Below are 19,843 nucleotides of genomic sequence, written 5' to 3'. Positions count from 1 at the left end.
TGTATCGATATACCACAATTTATTTATCGATTCATCAATTGATAGACATTTGGGTTATTTCCTCTTTTTGGCTACTACAAATAATGCTGCTATGAACATTTATATACAACTTTTTGTGTGAACATGTGTTTTTATTTCTTTGGGTATTTGCCTAGGAGTGGAATTGCACAGTCATATGATAACTCTATGTTTAACATTTTCAGGAACTGCCAGGCTATTTCTCAAAGTGGCTGCACCATTTCACAGTCCCATCAGCAATGTATAAGGGTGCCAGTTTTTCTACATGCTTGTCAACACTTGTTATTATCTACCTTTTCTATTATAGCCATCTGCATGGGTATGAAGTGGTGTCTGCCAGGTTTTGATTTGCATTTCACTGATGGTCAATAATGTTAAACAACTTTTTGTGTGTTGGCCATGTGTATATTGTCTATTCAGATCCTCTGCTTGTTTTTTAGTTATTGGCTTTTTATTATTGAGCTGTTAGAGATCTTTATATACTCTAGATATGAGATCCTTATTAGATATGATTTGCTAAATTTTTCTCCCATTATTTAGGTTTTCTTTTCACTTTCTTGACCAAGACTTTTGCCTTGAAGCACAAAAGTTAATTTTGGTGATGTATAGTTTGCTTTTCTTTTGTTCTCTGTACTCTTGGTGTCATATCTAAGAAACTATTGACTAATCCAGAATCATGAAGATTTTCTCTGTTGTCTTCTAAGAGTTTACAGTTTTAGCTCTTAAAATGGGTCTTTGATACACTTTGAGTTAATTCTTGTATATGGTGGAGATAAGGATCCAACTTTATTCTTTTCCATGGGAACACAATGTATTTTATAACCTAATCTCAGAAGACATTTATCATTATTTCTGCCATATTCCATTGGCCACATAGGCCAAGTCTGTTACAAGAAGGATGAGAACCACATGTCTCTTTCTAGTCATGAAGACCAAGAGGATAATTGGGCACCATCTTTGAAGCTGGTTACCATACCACAGATTTTCAGTATTCATTAATCAGGGAAAATTGATGATATTAGCTTTACTGAATAACAAAATGAGATTAAAATATTCCCTCAGTTTTAAAGGCTAGCTAATTTATTCCTCTATTATTGATTTACTTTCTTATGTGTCCTGATAATAACAAGATCTATCATTTCTTGAGCAACAGCTTAGTTCCTAACACACAGCCAATTTTTCTATATGTTCTTTTTACGCCCCACTTATTGGATATTAAAACAAGGAGGGTTTTTTTTTTTTTTTTTTTTTTTTTTTTTTTTTTTTGAGACGGAGTCCCACTCTGTCTCCCAGACTGGAGTGCAGTGGCACTATCTTGGTTTCCTGCAAGCTCTGCCTCCTGGGTTCACGCCATTCTCCTGCCTCAGCCTCCCGAGTAGCTGGGACTACAGGCTCCCGCCACCACACCCGGCTATTTTTTGTATTTTTAGTAGAGATGGGGTTTCACCATGTTAGCCAGGATGGTCTCGATCTCCTGACCTTGTAATCCACCAGCCTCGGCCTCCCAAAGTGCTGGGATTACAGGCGTGAGCCACTGCGCCTGGCCTAAAACAAGGAGTTTTTAATCTTCCATTTATTGATAAAGAAACCACAGAAGAGGTTAAATGACATATCCAACGTCACTCAGCCAGGAAGTGGTAGTCACGTTATAAAACCTTAAGTTGGTTCATCAGACTTTAGAATCTACCTTTCCCTCATCGACTGCTGCCCAACAGTCTCCCAAATGTGTAGGTTGGGGCTGAGCCTTGCCTGATTCTCCGTCCTCTCCATGCCACACAAAGCTGGCTGTTCTTAAAAGCAGCTTCCTCAAAACACTCAGAAATATAGACCACGGAGCCATCAAGCTATGAGATTCACTAGATCAAGCTGCAGGATTTGGGCAGTGATGCCGTGACGGCAGATAGGTCCAGTGGGATCTGTTTGATTCAGTTACCATTCTTGTAGCTTCAACAGATTTCTAAGGTATTGTACCAAACTTCAAAATATAACCCAAGCACATTTTTATTTGCATTTTATAGTTTATTTTGAATAGCTGAGCTACTTAATGGTTATCCAAAATAGTATTTTCCTTTAAAAACACACTTTAAAATGTTTCACAGCATTAAATATGATTTTATTACATCTCAGAATCAGAATGCTTTCTAAAATTAAGGTATAATTTTATGACTCAAGACTATCAGAAAATAAGCCTAGTTACACATTCAAAAATTACATTACTGGACACTTTTATGTGTACCCATTTCAAAAGGAAATATAATACATCTCTCTCTTTCTCCGCACTGCCCACCCCTCTGAAATTTCAAGGAGAGTCAGAGACTAGCTCATGGGCATTAGAAACAAGAGGAATAGTTTTGGTCCTCAAAGAAATGTAAAACCATTTTCAAACATTAAATTTCTTGTACCTCTTGGGGAGGGTAAGGTTTTGCAATCTGGGGCTTTTTCACTGTTTAAGCATTTCCCATTAAAATACAGCTGCCGTTTTTCTCCTTTACAACATGCAGAAGAAACCACACAGGCCAGGGGTTCGCCTTGTGCTCCAGTCATTTCCATTCACTTCCCATCCCCTGGGGATTTCATGGTTCTAGGGAGGGGCAACACATTGGAAACCTAATTCACCTAGCAAAGCTTCAGGCAGATAGAGAAAAAGCAAATACATTAGTAAAAGTGCCTCATTTATTTTGCTGTATTTAGCCACTTGATGGTCCTCATGTGGCTGTCAAGTTCCCCAGGTCACAGAAACAAGCATCTAGTGCCAGAGTGCTGCCTGCAGCTCCAGGGGGCCTTCTACACATGCAAGCACACAGGCACCCCTCATTTATACAGGCTCATTCGTGCGGCTGGAAGGTGGCAGCTCGCTTAGACCACTGCAGCAGCTTCCCAGCTGGTCTTCCTGCCTCTGGTCCCTGCCTCTGCTCAGACCCCCACACCATTGACTGACCTTTCTGAAATGCCTACACTTCTCTCCTGATATGATTTGGCTCTGTGTCCCCACCCAAATCTCACCTTGAATTGTAATAATCCTCACATGTCAAGGGCAGGACCAGGGGAGATAATTGAATCATGGGGGCGGTTTCCCCCATGCTGTTCTCATTATAGTAAGTGAGCCTCACAAGATCTGATGGTTTTATAAGCATCTGGCATTTTCCCTGCTTGCACCTATCTCTCTCCTGCTGCCCAGTGAAGAGGTGCTTTCCCCCATGATTGTAAGTTGCCTGAGGCCTCCCCAGCCATGTGGAACTGTGAGTCAATTAAACCTCTTTTCTTTATAAATTACCCAGTCTTGGGTACTTCTTCATAGCTGCGTAAGAATGGACTAATACATCTCCCAAGCTTAAAATCACTGTGGTGGCTCACACCTGTAATCCCAGCATTTTGGGAGGCCAAAGTGGGCAGATCACAATGTCAGGAGATTGAGACCATCCTGGCTAAAATGGTGAAACCCCATCTGTACTAAAAATACAAAAAATTAGCTGGGCGTGGTGGCAGGTGCTTGTAGTCCCAGCTACTCGGGAGGCTAAGGCAGGAGAATCACTTGAACCCAGGAGGCTGAGGTTGCAGTGAGCCGAGATCGCGCCACTGCACTCCAGCCTGGGTGACAGAGTGAGACTCCATTTCAAAAAAAAAAAAAAAAAAAGTCACTGTGATGGAAACAAGAGGGACAACCAGGCATTATGAACCTCTTGAAGTTGTATTGAAAAAAAAATCAAACCTGAATATAATGACATCTGTAGCTCAAACTTCCAGTTTATAGGAAGCACACAGATAGAAGCACATGTTAAATGACATCATGAGATGCAGCTCACAAAATCCAGACTGCAGGAAACTCTACAGGACAAATGACAGAAAAAATAGATGGAAAGGGACTCTACGGGTTGAAGGAGACTTAAAGAAAGCAAGGTATGAACTCTATATGGACCCTAAATCAAATTAACAAACTGTTTAAAAAAAAAGTCAATAGACATTTAGGGAGATGTGAACACCTGACTGAATATTTGATGATATTAAGGAAATATTGTTAAACATTTTAGATGACTTAATGGTATTGTGGTTGTGTGTTTTTTAAAAAAAATCCTTATATTTTAATCCAGAAACATATTGAATATTTTCTTTAAGATTAGCATCAAATCAAGCCTGAGGTTGTGGGAAGAGGTGAAGGTGCAAGTGAAACAAGACCAGCCACAAATTGATCATTGTTGAAGGTGGGACATTGAGTTCATTATATTATTACCTCTACTTTTGGTATGTTTGAAAATCTTTATAATAAATAACTTTTTAAATGAAAAACAATATTCCAATAGGTCCCCCATGGCCTATATCAGCATTGATGGCTCTGGATCTCATTGTGACCCTGAAGGAGTATGTAGACTCTCCTCTTAAAAAATACATTTGCACTCAGATAATTGCATATAATTTGAGCAGTTACAGACCCTGATGTCTCTTAGACTTCTGGCCTTTAGGTTCATGTGTTAACCAATTCCCTCTGTGGCCTGGGCTGACCTATCCAGGCTCTCCCCAACTCCCTATCATAGGCTCTGTCACACCTGCTCCTCCATGCCTCTACTCATGAGGTTCCCTCGGTCTGAAGATGCTTTCCTAAGGCCCATGCCAAATCTCACTTTCCTTCCAGCCAGCCACACACCCACTGCCCTGACCCCAACCCAGGAATAAATTCTTCCAGCCCTCTTGCCCTCTAGCCCCCATGTATCCCACCCTATAGTGAAAGCCAGAGATCGCAGTTTGCTTCTGTTACATCATGATCTCCCTGTGGGGCCAATTCACCATTTTCTTTACTGTGCTGAGCCCAGAGCTTTGTACACACCCAATTAATGTGGGTTAAAATGAATTCAATGGGAAATTTAAAGCCTCAGGGTCTGAGGAGAGCTAATGGGATCTCACAGCTCAAATACCAATATTACTGATATGTCAGAGCAGGAGAACAAAATGCTGAGCTCACCATAGCTAGGTCTTTGGTCATATTTGTCAGATGAGGAGTCTGTGCCCTGGAAGTTGTGGAGGTGGAAGTGGAATCTCTGGTTGGTGACTGACACAGCCTCACATGTGGGGACTCTATCCTTGACCTCACCTAAAAGGCAGAAGCTGCCAAAGGTGGGGGGACATTTGACTCCTGCATTTGGTGTTTTTTATTCTCTCTCTTGACAGCACTGGAGAATGTTTGGGGTGGGGTTAGGCGATGCTCTTGGGCAAATCACACTGAAGACAGGTGCTGCCCATATCCCCTCACCGCACTCCACCCATGACCTCTCCTTTCCTCACCCCTTCTGTACTTCTGGGCTGGAAACATTCCCTAATTAAGTCTCATTCACCCCTCAGTGTCAATTAGTGCGGTCTGCTAGCCCGAGGCAAGATGAAAGACTTTGGACATCCAGGAGGCAGCTCAGGCTTCTGGGCTGCAAAAACAGGGAAAAGAATTCAGAAAGGGAAGCCCAACCAGAACAGATGGGCCAAGGTGAAGTCCAGGACAAATGGAGTGGCTGGAACCAGGAAAGAAGCCACCAGGAGCCAGAGGAGAGTGCATAGGGCTTGTCAGGAACAGACAGAGTCGGTGCAAGGCCTGAAGGTGAGTCCCAGGGTCTGCAAAGCTCTCCCTGCACCCCAGCACTCACCAGGGCTCTTGCCTGGCACTTGGCCTTTCTTTTAAATGGTGTGGCCTTTCCTATTTTTTAAAAGGCATCCTTGGGCTTGACAAGATGAGAGAGGAATAAAGGGATAAAGCTCAGACATGCTTTCTTTGAGCTTGCATCGACATCTAAATGATGATGGTAGGGACAGCCTGGACAACCGCAAACAAAGATTCTATCTGCTCATCCAGGCACCTTGGCTTCCCTCACTGCAAGGGAAAGGAAAATGTTTCTTGAGGGCAGTACTAGGGTGTAACTCTGGCCACTTCACCTGCTCTCTAAGGTGGTCTTTATCATCCTCTGCAGGAGGTCGTGTCATTTCCATTGTATAGTTGAAACAGACTCAGCAAGTACACTCAGAGCAGATAAGTACCTTGTCCAAGGACACGTGGTCAGCCACTGTCACTTTTCACTTGTTGCTGATTCTTTTAAGGCAATGAGGCTCTAGTCTTCTTCAGATGATATACTTGTGCCTTGAGTCATTCCGTCAGCTCCCTCCACTAACAGTAATGCCGTTCAAACACCAGCCCTGGTGTCCAATTAAAGTCCTTGCAGATATAAGATGGTATGGACAGGGGAACTGGATTTCCCAGCTGTAAGGGATGCAGACAGGGAAGCTGACCCCAGCAGGTGAGTGTAGGGTCATACCTACCACTGCCAGCGTGGCCAGCCTTTGCTCTGTCTCCAGGTCTCTCCCTCTATGAATGATGAGTCAATTGCTAGTGGAAAATTCTTCAATGAACTTAACCATTCTGGAAGCAGTAGTCCCCTTCCAGGGCTTCTGTGTCCCTGGGCAATGTTTCTGCTTTAAAATCCCCATTTCCCCTTCCAGCAGTAGCATCTTACAGGGACCCCCAAATTGTGTACCAGTCTTAGTCACACCCACGTTTGCTGACAGATCTGGAAATTGCTCTTATTAACCCTCATTATCTCAATAGTGATTTGGTTGTGACTTGCCGTGTTTTGTTCTTCAGAGCTCCTGTGCCATCCGCTCCCTCCTTCCTATGGCTTGATGAAGGAAGGACTTGCAAAGAGAGCTGGTCTTATTCCCTCCTCCTCCCTTTCTTGTTTGCAGAACTATAGTTCCCTTATTCATTCTTTCATTTCTGCTTTAATCACAGGTTCCTGCATCCGTACTTTCATACTTTCCATTTCCTCCTCTTTGTGCTTGGAAGACTTCCTGGGGATCTCCTCCGTTTCCTGAACCTGTTCTGTCCAGAGCTCACGTCTATGCGTATTTTCACAATGACTTCCTTTGTTGATTTTAATTCCTATACAGCAATTCCAGCCAGCTGGGTAAAGGGATGATTGTAGATGACCCACCTCCCTCGCCTCCTTACCCCTTCCCTCTCCCAGGAAAATGCTCCCAGACACCAAAACTTCTGCCTCTTCACATATCACAACAGCAACATTCAGTAGCATTCCAGAGGTGTGGTTCAATGTTCAAGGCCTGTTCACTGTTCCAAGTGAACCTCCCAGCCACCCCAGAAAGAGATTTTATTCTTGCCATCCCTATTTCACAGCAAGGGAAACAAATTCAGAGACAGACTCCTGAGGTTTCCCACTGGTGAGAGGCATTGGAAGGAGCATGCAGCAGGTGCCTGCAGTTCAGAAGCGCCCACTCCTTTCATTTCATTGATCTTTACCAGCAAAAGCCTGAGATATGCAAGACACACTCTTCCACAAAGACCCAGTTGTAGACATGTGTGGATCTTCCAAACTGAATTCCCCAAAAGCATTGTCCATGCACACCCCCACCATCATGTCTGGAAGTGTGTCTGTTTCTCCACATGCTCACCAAAATTGGAAGGGTAGGATTTGGGCTGCCTGTTTGTTATTCCTGCGAAGGAAAGATGGTATCTGCTCTTCTTATTCCTAGGATCCTGGGCTTCAGGTCTTCTCTTCTTTATGGAAGACAAACGAGGAAAGAAAGGAGTTAGAGCCTCTCCATATGCTCATCTGCAACCAAAGTTCCCATCTCGGATCAGAGGTCCTCTGGCAGCTGGTGTAAGTGACGCTCCCCCAATACTCCAACCTGATCAAAATCCTGAGGCGTCTTCTCCGCAGACTGCAACAGCACCTGCATTTTACAATCTGCCACAGATAGGATCTACTTTTCCTTTATGAACATTTTAAAATACTACCTATCAGGTTCACACGGAGGTCTCTTCCATGGTCTAACTCAGACACGAACATCCTTGGTAACCGGGTCCTGCCATTCACCTCCCCTCTTCTTCCTGGGCTCAGACATTTCCCTTGATTGCCTCTACCCCCTGGAATCTCTCCCTGGTTCTTATCACTGAGCCTCTGGAACTTGTCAAAGTTTAAAACCCTCCATACTTGTTGCTTTCCTTCTTGGTTTGGACAGACACAGAATGTTTTCTCATCCTTGCTGGAACAGAATTCCGTAGCTCGAGCCATCACATCTTTCAAGACAGGACTTTCGCCTGAGCTCATGCTCACAAGCTTGGCACATCCCCACAGTCCACACCCTATGGCCACCAGCAAAACCCATTATCCTCGGCTTCCCTCCAGGGCCAGGCATGTGGGACTGTGGAGAGCCCTGCTCACGTAGCGAGGTCGCCCTTCAGCACGAGATTCCCCCTGCATAGCCTGCATGTGTCTTACTGGGGGTGGGGCAGGGGTGGTGGAGCTGCCTGGGGTCTTGCTGGGGTGGGGCAGGGGTGGTGGAGCTGCCTGGGGTCTTGCTGGGGTGGGGCAGGGGTGGTGGAGCTGCCTGGGGTCTTGCTGGGGTGGGGCAGGGGTGGTGGAGCTGCCTGGGGCAGTGATACACCAGTGAGTTACCAGGGGACTGTAGCTCTGAGGCAGTCTCCAGCAGAGCCAGGGTGAAGGCTGATGCTGTGAGTCTGAGAGATAGTAATGAACCTGGAGACCAGGGCAGCCGTGAAAGTGCAGCAGGGTCTGCAGCCAGCGCTCGGCAGTCACACAGCAGAGCAGGGAAGGAAATGAAGTCTCCAAACAGTACTAATCCCACCACAGCTATTCCCACCCCATCTCCTTTTTTACCTTCCTGGTCTTTTTTTTTTTCTTTTCTTTTCTTTTTAATCTTGAAATAATGATAGGAAGTTGCCCAGTGGTTACGGGAATAACTATCACACAAAATCTGAACCAGGAATTTGACACCAGGTCAGTGTGTGTGTAGCTCTATGCCATTTCCTCACATGTGTACATTTGTGTAATCATCACTGCACTCAAGATACAGAACTATCTCATCACTACCAGGAGTATAGCTATTCCTTTTATTGGACCCTAAAGGTATTCCAGCTACCATGCTAAGCATGATTTTGTTTCTTCCTAAAACACCCTAGAAAATAGGGTCTCCAATTATCTTCATTTCACACATCAGAAGACTGAGGCTCAAGGTGGTCATGTTTCTCACCCACATTCTCATGGGTAATAAGAGCAGAGGACTCAAGCTGGTGTCTTGGTGTCTCCATTACACAGCCAAGCATCATGTACTGTCTCTGCACGTGGGTCAGGAGGATGCTTTTAGTCTAGATCTGTCGGGTATCAAGCTGGACTGGACACCTTGAGAAGAATATCATCCTCACATCTGTCTTGTCTGATTTCATCAACAAACGGGTTCATGTTGACAAACCTTTAGAGTGGAAAGTGGTTTGTGGCAGACAATGGAACAACAGCATCATTAAGGAGCATCGACCCTAAACAAGAGAATGAATTTGTAAGGAACAAGATCAAGCAAGAAGCACGTTTTCTCCAGGATAGCAAAAAAGGGCAGGATTAATCAGAGTTGTGAGTCAGGGGCTGAAACAGCAGATGGGTGAGCGTAAGAGCCATATAGCATGAGAGTTGGAAGGGAACCAAAGCACTCAGCAGGTGTGCTCTGGAAGGGGCTCCCTTCCCGCCTCCCAGGTTCAAGCGATTCTCCTGCCTCAGCCTCCCAAATAAGCTGGGATTACAGACGCCTGCCACACCTGGCTAATTTTTGTATTTTTAGTAGAGACGGGGTTTCACCATGTTGACCAGGATGGTCTCAGTCTCTTTACCTTGTGATCCTCCCACCTCGGCCTCCCAAAGTGCTAGGATTACAGGCGTGAGCCACCGTGCCCAGCTGCAACATATTTTTTGAAAGTCAAATGCAAGTCTGTTTGGCCTGGTGCAGTGGCTCACACTTGTAATCCCAGCACTTTGGGAGGGCGAGGTGGGTGGGTCATTTGAGGTCAGAAGTTTGAGACCAGCCTGGCCAACATGGTGAAACCCGGCCTCTACTAAAAATACAAAAATTACCTGGGCATGGTGACAGGTGCCTGTAGTCCCAGCTACTCAGGAGGCTGAGGCAGGAGAATCGCTTGAACCCAGGAGACAGAGGATTCAGTGAACTGAGATCACACCACTGCACTCCAGCCTGGGTGACAGAGTGAGACTCTGTCTCAAAAAAAATAAAAAATAGAAAAAGTCAAATGCAAGTCTGTTTGAGACTCTAGCAAGGACTGTGGTCAGGATCTCTGGTGCAGTCAGTGTAGCTGCTGGCAGAAAATCACTAATTTTGAAATGTCTCAAAGCGGTTTCCACTTGAGGAGCAAGATAACTGCTGTTTAGTGAGATGGGCTTTTGGAAATGGCTTGATGTGGCCATTCACGCAGCCATAACTTACGCATAACTTCTCTCTTTTTTTATGGCTGCAACATTTTATGGTTACATGTTAATCACATTTTCTACTTCCTCCTCCCCTAAGCTCAGCCCAGGCAGTGATGTTTAAGAGCCTCCTCTCGGCACGAAGTGAGGATGCCTGAGATCTTAGTTGACGGCAGCTTGCAGACTTGGAAGCGTTCCCTTCAGTTATCCTAGAGAATGTGGGCTTGTCTGAGGTCAGGATGCAGGAAGTGTCTGTGTTGGCCCGACCTGCTGGGTCCCCAGGGAGCCATATTTCAACAGCAAGAAAAATGCATAGTTCTTGCTTTTAGTTTCAAATCCAGATGTGCACACTCTGAGGAGGCAGCGTGCTGAGAAGTGTTCGAGGTGAACATTCAGGGCAGCTGCTCTTCAGAAGCAAGGCTTGTAATGTGGTCCCCAAGTACCCTCTCCTGCTGTTGGTCTGGAATCGACATTGCCGGTCCAGATGTTTTGAGATAAGCTGTAAATCTCTCCCTGCCTCTGATTTGATCTAATGAGAGGGCGTGACTCGTGGTACTAGTGGGCGGGATGACTCCTCAGTGGGGTACCTCCAGCCATCCTTCCGGGGTGGCCTCAGGGTGTGAGTTATGGCCCCAGCGGATTCATCATTACTTGAAAGTTTTGCACATGGAATTGTTACCTACGTCTGCAGATACCAGGAGGGCAGGAAAACTTAAATGTTCCAACAGACTGGTTGATTCTTTTAGCTGTGATCCCAAAATTCCGTGGAGAAAAGCACAAGAAGCTCTGGGATGTGAATCCTGGAGACACGGGAGAGGCTGGTATTGCTGAGAGACGAACACTCTTATGCCAACCCAAAAGGTAACTGATAAGCAAATGGGGACTTCAAGGCCACTGTCCAGAGGAGGCAGCCTCGAAGGGGGCAGGCTGCTGTTGTTTTATCAGGTGATCACACCGAGAAATTGTTACTGGGGTTCCTTGCTCACAGAGCTCCCAAGATGGTGGTGAGCCGCTTCCAAGATGGTGGCAAGCCTCGTGTTCTCTGACCTGGGGGTCTTGGCCTCACGGATTCCAAGGAATGGAATCTTGGGCCATGCGGTGAGTGTTATAGCTCTATTGGAAGCTGTGGGTCATGGAAGAGAACTGTAGAACCCAGTGACTAGTGTTCAGCTCGATTAGGATGAACCCAGGCCCTTAGCCATGCAGGAAAAATGGCAAGCCTTTAGCACGATCGGGAGTGGCAATGGGTGCCTCGCTGGATCAGGAGCACAGCGGACACCCTGCGGGATCTGGAGGGATTGAAGTGAGCAGCGGGTCTGTGACTGTGGCAAACAGCAGTGGTGGACTGTGAGCGAAAGCTCAGCTCAAGCCATAACAAACACAGAAGAGTGCAGTTGCAAGATTTAATAGAGTGAAATAGAGTGAAAACAGAGCTCCCATACAAAGGGAGGGGACCCAAAGGGGGTTGCCATTGCTGGCTCGAATACCTGGGTTTATATCCTGATCATTGTCCCTCCTGCTGTGCTCCCAGGCAACAGATGATTGGCTATTTCTTTACCTCCTGTTTTTGCCTAATTAGCATTTTAGTGAGCTCCCCTTACTATCTGATTGGTCAGGTGTGAGCTAAGTTGCAAGCCCCATGTTTAAAGGTGGAAGTGGTCACCTTCCCAGCTAGGCTTAGGGATTCTTAGTCGGCCTAGGAAATCCAGCTAGTCCTGTCTCTCAAAATGTTCTAGTTTCAAGATGCAGGTATCTTCCTTTAAATCTAACTTTTTCTAAGTGTTTTACTGTGCCCCAGATACCCACATGCAGATTTTTCACTTGATCCTCATAATAGCCTTTTGCAATAGGTGTTATGATCCACATTTTACCAATGACCACAATGAGGCTCAGAGAGAAAAATAACTTGCCCAAGGCCCCTCAGCTTGTAAGTGGCAGAATGAGCATCCAAATCATGCTTCCTCCTTGAAATTTTTTTTACCAAGGGAGTGTCTTAGTCAGCTCAGGCTGTTATAACAAAATACCACAGACCAAGCAGCTTAAATGGCAGAAATTAATTTTCTCACAGTTCTGGGAGCTTGAAGTCCAAGATTTAGGTGTCGGTCCATTTGGTTTCTAGGGAGGGCTCTCTCCCTGTCTTGTGGACAGCCGCATTCTTGCCATGCCCTCACATGGCCTTTTCTCTGTGGCAGAGAGAGGAGAGAGACAACAGAAGCGCATCCTGGTGTCTCTTCTTGTAAGGACACTAATCCTATCAAGTCAGGCCTGCACCCTTGTGACCTTTTTTAACCTTAATTACTTCCTTAAGGGCCCTATCTCAAAGTACAGCCACACTGAGTTTAGGGCTTCAACATATTGTTGGAAACAGTGAGTTCCTCTTCAAAGGTTCAGCTTGTCCTCTATTTTCAAAGCCTAACTTCCTTGCCTCCTTGCCCCCAGTTATGGTAAACAACCTTCCAGCCATTCCCAATCTGTAACCCACGTCCATTCCCAATCTGTAACCCACACCCATTCCCAATCTGTAACCCACACCCATTCCCAATCTGTAACCCATATCCGTTCCCAGTCTGTAACCCACATCTGTTCCCAATCTGTAACAACCCACATCTGTTCCTTATTTGGCACCCTTAGTTCAGAAACTGCTCTTCCCTCCACTGTAGCCCCCACCCCTGCTCAATTTTGAAGTAGCCAGTCGGGATCAGCTTAGATGGTATGGTGCGACCCCAGCCAATGGAGACCGGACACAGTAGTAGGGACTGACTGCATTAGGGATAAAAACCCCTTCCCTCCTTTGTTCGGTGTGCTCTTGCAGTGACCAGAAGAACGAGCAGCACCCTTCTGCAGAAGTAAGTTTGCCTTGCTGAGATATCCTTTATTTGAGTGCTCATTTTCTTTGCAACTCTGAGCTCTTATTTCCAACAATGTGAATTTGGGGGTGTTGAGGGACACAAACATTCGGCCTGTAAAAGGGGGCTGCCAGTTCCTGTTCCACATGGTATGTGGAGGTCCTGAACAAAGAACCTCCAGGGTCAGTTCAGCATGGAGTAAACAGTGGTCTTCCTTACACCAAGAGAGAATGCCTGGCTGAAGACGGGGCGATGGGAGCCGAGGCCATGTGTACCAGTGAGAGGTATAGTCTGGCTGGAGAAGGAGGATGCAAGTCATGAGTTGTTCTGAGATGGGTGAGGGTGGTGTCTGATGTTCCTTATCAAGGGGTGTGAGTTGAGGATGAAAAGAATTCTCAAGGAAGGGAAATGGCAGAGATCCCAGATCATTCCTCTTTTCCCTTCCCTCTTCCCTTTCCTCCCCCTTTCCCTTTAATTAATTAATTAGTTAATTCATTAACTTATTTTGGACTTTGCCTCTGGAACCCTGCAGATTAGAATAAATTGTGGCCATGGAGGCCCTATTATATCTCATTTAATAACATAGTTCCTCAGTTTACCTACAACATTAGTGCCACAAATTCATCCAGCCTCTTCTTGAATTTCTCCTCTGTCTAGAAACTCACCACCTCCTGAGCCAGCCCATTCTATTCTCAAGTGTCTTTAACCAAAACAAACGCCATCTCTCTGTAGGTCCTGGTTCTACTTTCTGGGGCAATAAAAATGGAGTCAGCTTTTTAGAAGACAGAACAAATCTTGTCCTACTCAATATTCACAGATCTCTTTTTGTTTGTTTGTTTTGAGGTGGAGTCTCACTCTGTCACCCAGGCTGGAATGCACTAGTGCAATCTTGGCTCACTACAACCTCTGCCTCCTGGGTTCAAGCAGTTTTCCTGCCTCAGCCTCCTGAGTGGCTGGGTTACAGGTGCACAGCTAATTTTTGTATTTTTAGTAGAGATGGGGTTTCACCATGTTGATCAGGCTGATCTCAAACTCCTGACCTCGTGATCCACCCGCCTCAGCCTCCCAAAGTGTTGGGATTACAGGTGTGAGCCACTGCACCTGGCAATATCCACAGATCTCTTATCTGATCTTCACACTTGGTGTTTCCTTCCATATTTTGATCTCCAAGAGGACCTGGTTACTTTCTAAGATATATTTCATTTTACACCAGCAGCAAATTCTCATTAAAAAAGCTTGCAGGCTGGGCGCAGTGGCTCACGCCTGTAATCCCAGCACTTTGGGAGGCCGAGGCAGGTGGATCACGAGGTCAAGAGATTGAGACCATCCTGGCCAACAAGGTGAAACCCCATCTCTACTAAAAATACAAAAATTAGCTGGGCATGGAGGCTGAGGTAGGAGAATCACTTGAATCCGGGAGGCAGAGATTGCAGTGAGCCAAGATTGCACCACTGCACTCCAGCCTGGGTGACAAGAGTGAAACTCTGTCTTAAAGAAAGAAGAAAGAAAGAAAAGAAAAAGAAAAAGCTTGCATTCCCCAGAATTAAGCTCATTTTAACTGTTCCCTACATTGCTTCCTTCTGAGCCATAAGGCCACCATTCATCCCCTCAAAAACCACTTAATGACATTTTCTTTGTTCCAGTACCCCTCAAGGCACAAGGAACATAGCTCTGAGCAAGATGGACAGAGTTCCTGATTTCAGAGGGTTTACAGTCTAATGGGGGAGGCAGGGAAGACGGGCAAACAAAGAAGAAAGTCAGGTAGGAAATGCCATGAAATAATAATGTTTTCTTTCACAATCAGACTACAGTTCTAATGCCTAGTGAGCACTTATTTTCAGCAAGGCACTTTGCTAATTATGAAACGAATAGTCTTGTATGCAAGTATAGCTTTCTAAAAAAAAAAAGTTCATAGGGCTCTGATCCTAGCAAGAACCTTGTAAAGTAAACAGGATAAGCATTATTCTGATTATTAAGCCCACTTTGCAAATGAGGAAACTGAGACTTATTTTAGTAGCAATGCAGCCAGTGAGGGTGCAGGAACTCATAGCCTCTGACACCAGCTGCTCTCTACAGCGCCTCACTGCCACTCATTGACGAGTTTGCTGATGACTTACCCTCATTTCCCAAGCCAGCTCTGGTTTAGTCATTAGTAGTATTATCTGCCGGTTTTTTGGCAAATGTATGCATTCACACATTTATGTGATGACTTTGGTGGTTTGGAAAACAGATCTTGCATCTCAGCCTTTGTAGGGAGGACGTTGATGCAGGGAGCCAGGAAGAGGCTGGCCAGCATCCAGAGGCCCTACTCTGGATAGGGGGTAGATTTCCACATCAGGAAGTGCAGAGTGAGACATCTGGCGAAGTCAAGTGGCCACTCAGTCAATAGCCAGGATTTGGGGTCAGGTCATAGCAACAGCTGAAGGAAACAACCATGCTGGGTCAGCGGGTCCTGGGGCTTTGGGACAAGCAAAATGTGAAATCTCCCAACCACAGAGGAGGAGGAGGAGGCAGTGTTTGGAAGTCAGCTAAATGAGGGGCAAAAAATGTTTCTGCCTCCATCACTCAGCACCTCCCCTGGCTGCTGTGCCCTTGAAGGACTGACTCTCAGGCCTTCCTTCTACTTGCTCAAGAAGGGACGATCCCAAAATGAATGCACCCGTCTTTCTTCGGATTTCTCATTATTAGTCTTTTCTTGAATAACCTACATAGGACATGTTTTATTCATCTCCTAATTGGTTCCTTAGTCACTCTGCTGTGGAACCTTTTCATGACATACCTGCATTGGACATACATCAATCCCTCGTGTTTGCAGGGACTGTTCAGTTACCTAGACCAGGGCCAAATAGGGGAGCCCCGGGATTTGACACTGAGATGGTTCGGGGCTCTGCCAAAGACACCAGGTAAGACAGAGGCATAGTGGGAAGCAGGCTCTCTACAAGGAACCAAATAGACTCGAAGCAGACTTTAACTTTGCAAGGGAAGGTAAGATGAAGCGGCATGACAGAGGGGAGCAGAGGCTTTTCATCTTCTTCCCTCCCACCTTCACCAGCTGGATCTGGACCCTGCAGAAGGTCATCTTTTCCAAGTAGCCTGGTCCCAGTAGCAGATTCAAGGCTCTGAGCTGTGGTAATTATTATTATTATTAGGGCCTGGGGCCAACTGAATGAGCATTCCCACCATGCACTCAATAGTTAGACCATATTGGTCTATAGTGAGCAGCATGAGTTGTCCTTAAAATGACATGTGGGGTGGAAGTAAAATGAAAACCAGGGAGTCAAAAGCAAAGTAAAAATGTAAACTAGGGATCCAAGCCAGCGAAGCTGTGATTGGTGGGGATGGCCTTTGATGTGTTCTTTTCTTTCCTTTTCTTTTTTTTTTTTTTTTTTTTTGAGATGGAGTCTTGCTCTGTCACCCAGGCTGGAGTACAGTGGTATGATCTCAGCTTACTGTATCCTCTGCCTCCCCATGTTCAAACAATTCTCCTACCTCAGCCTCCCAAGTAGCTGGGATTACAGGCATGCACCACCATGCCTGGCTACTTTTTATATTTTAAGTAGAGACAGGGTTTCACCATGTTGGCCAGGCTGGTCTCGAACTCCTGACTTTGGGTGATCCTCCCACCTCAGCCTCCCAAAGTGCTGGGATTATAGGTGTGAGCCACCACGCCCAGCCTGATGTGCTCTTTAATTAGCCCTGGATGACTTTCATTAGCCCTCTGAGCCTATTTCCTTGTCTGTGACATGACAGGGATGAACCAAGTGAACCCCAAGGTCCCATCAAGCTTGAAGACCCCAGGTTCCTGGGAATAAACCTTCAAGAGGAATGAGAAAGCAGAGGAAGACTTACAAAAAATTATTTAAGGATAGGAGATGTTTCCAAATGTTGCAAATTTGCCTTCTATTTGCATTTACATTTCCCAGTTTACAGTGTTTTCACAAATACTAGTTCCCTTGTTAAATCCCCACAGTGACTATGAGCCCCCTGGTCTTATAGAGATGGAGCTGATGTGGTTCTATGGAGTTAAGAGAGTTGTCCAAAGTGGCATCTAGCATGAACGAGGATGCAAACCCAGGATGACTGGCTTGGCCGCCCTTGGCCACCACCTTGACCTTGAACCCATCATATCATCCCTCTTTTCTCTCTACTCCGTCACCCGCTCCTCATCTCATGGGCTCTCAGCCTCTTACCTTGACTCCTGCCTGCAGCATATATTCATCCCTGTCTGTGAGGGACTGGAATTGTTCTCCTTTTACCCTCTATGGTCTCCCTTCTCCCACCACAATCTGTGCTCAGCTTTAGGTCGCCTTTGGTTGTTGACCCAGGTAATATTCAGCTCAGACCCTGAGACTTGGCCTGGTGCTGGCCGATATGACCAGTATCCATAAGAAAGGATTTCAACAATCGCCACACAGAAGAATTATGCACACAAAACAAGAGGGTCTTTCTGCCACATCTCTGAACAGGAAAATCAATTCAACAAATATTTATTGGCACTTACTCTGTGCAAGGCATAGTCTGTATATTAAAAAGAGAAATGGTATGGCCTTGAGGTGGTGGAGAAAATAAAAACATGGTTCAACCGATTTGTAAATGTCTGAGAGACTACAGGGAACAAGGTAGACTCCATAAAGTGCTTGTCCAATCAAACTAATATCTCTATTTATTCCACAATAAGAATAATGACAGCTGGAAAGATATGTCATCCCTTTGGACAGGTGTATGACTTCTCTTCCAGAAGCCAAACAATGAGCTGCATCCAGAGGCGTCACTGCGCCCGAGGGAGTGAGTGGAGGGACCAGAATGCAGGCGGGGGAGGCAGGCACGGGCAGGCACCCATGGGACTTGACTTACAAGTGAAGTGGCTTCCATAGTTGAAGCTGCAGGGGGAAGGTTAGCTGGGAATGCTTGTGCTGATGGTTCCTCCCTGGCAGGAAGGAGGTTCCTGGAGTCTCCTCCTTCCAACTCTAGTATCCAATTTGACTCCATATAGATCTTGTGTGTTCTTTTTTCTTGTAGAAGAACTGCTGTGCATACCTTCAGGGCACAGGAAACTACAAGATTAAGTTATGACTTGCAGGACTGTATTTGTCTGATGGAAATTGCAGGTGGCTGGCCAGGCGCGGTGGCTCACGCCTGTAATCCCAGTATCTTGGGAGGCCAAGGCGGGCATATCACGAGGTCAAGAGATGGAGACCATCTTGGCCAACATGGTGAAACCTCGTCTCTACTAAAAAATACAAAAATTAGTCGGGCGTGGTGGCGGGCACCTGTAATCCCAGCTTATTCAGGAGGCTGAGGCGAGAGAATCCCTTGAACTTGGGAGGCAGAGGTTACAGTGAGCCAAGATTATGCCACTGCATTCCAGCCTGGTGACAGAGTGAGACTCTGTCTCAAAAAAAAAAAAAAGAAAAAAAAGAAAAGAAATTGCAGGTGGCTACATGTTCTCACTTAAAAAAAAGAAATTGCAGATGGCTGCATGTTCTCACTTATAAGTGGGCTAAGGAATGTGTACACATGGACCTAGTAGAAAGACACTGGGGACTCAGAAGGGTGGGATGGTGGGAGGGGAATGAAGGATGAGAAATTACCTAATAGGTACAGTGTACACTATTCAGGTAATGGTTACACTACAAGCCCAGACTCCACCACCACTCAATATATCAACATCACGAAACTACACTTGTAGTCCCCGAATCTATAAAAATAACAATTAAAAAAAAAAGAAACTAGAGGTAGAAATGAAAGAAAGCTGTCAGGCTAAAAAAAGTATCTGCCAGGGCATCCCATGGAGTCACAGAACTGCAGGGACCCCAAGGGCAAGTGACCACTTTGCAGCAAAGGGCACCAGCCTCAGCTGGGACATCTGCCCTGGCCCTGGCACACTGCCTGTGCTGGCTCACCAGCCCACCTTCAGGCAGCTCTGCTTATCAGCACACTCTTTCTTAATACTCACTTTCATCACTTCCACTCGGTGATGGCAGCTTCTGCTCCTTAAGGCCATAATGAACAAGCATAATTCATAGACTTTTTAGTGTTGGGGACTCAAATGCAAGATTAAGAACTCCTAGAGTGCAGGGACCAAATTAAACGTTTGAGATTCTTTTAAAATTATGAAAGAAATACAAGCTGCTGGTATAAAATTCAAACCGCACAGAAGCAGGCATAGTAAAAACATTCTAGTCTCCCTTCGCCCCTGCCCCAGAGACACTCACTATTAACAGCTTCCAGACTTTTTATTATGCATTTATATTAATGCGAGCTGTGATTCAGTCCAATTTGCACTTTTAAAAAGCTCTCTCTGGTTCCAGGGTGGAGGACAGACTGGAAGAGCCAGGGGTAAGAACAGGAAGTCCACTTGGCCAAGGTGAAAAATAACAGTGACCCAGACAAGGTGGCAGCAAAGGAGATAGAGCTGAGGGGGGAGATCCGATGTCTTTGGGGGTGGTAGAACCAGCACACAATTGCTGAGTGACTCACTGGACCAGTGTTCACGGTGATCTTCCCTCCCTTCTCTGCACTGCTCTTTTGTCCAAGTTCTCCCTGGCAACAGTCAGAGAAGCAGAAGGTTTTAAAAATAGACCTGAGCTTCCCCTCACCTGCCACCAGAACGTGGTCTCAGAATAGCAGAGCAAAAGACAGAGCAGAGAGCTGCCCCCTACTAGAGGCAAAGGAGACATTTCCTTTCAAATCTCTATTTTTAAATTCTGAGCACTTACTAGA

At 45.7% G+C, this 19,843-nt stretch overlaps 2 annotated features.

Annotated features, from left to right (window-relative positions):
- Positions 5,754–6,258: an enhancer, noted in NCBI's record as "NANOG hESC enhancer chr10:100113671-100114175 (GRCh37/hg19 assembly coordinates)". NCBI's record gives its function as "activates a minimal SCP1, AML or CMV promoter by ChIP-STARR-seq in naive H9 embryonic stem cells {active_cell/tissue: H9 hESC(naive)}" and the evidence as "EXISTENCE:reporter gene assay evidence [ECO:0000049][PMID:30033119]".
- Positions 19,469–19,598: an enhancer, noted in NCBI's record as "active region_3864". NCBI's record gives its function as "activates an Ori minimal core promoter by ATAC-STARR-seq in GM12878 lymphoblastoid cells {active_cell/tissue: GM12878}" and the evidence as "EXISTENCE:reporter gene assay evidence [ECO:0000049][PMID:35858748]".

Source organism: Homo sapiens, chromosome 10 (assembly GCF_000001405.40).
Source record: "Homo sapiens chromosome 10, GRCh38.p14 Primary Assembly".
In the NCBI taxonomy this organism is placed as follows: Eukaryota; Metazoa; Chordata; class Mammalia; order Primates; family Hominidae; genus Homo; species Homo sapiens.
Note: the sequence above shows the minus strand (reverse complement) of the source record. Positions and strands in the feature narration are given on the sequence as shown.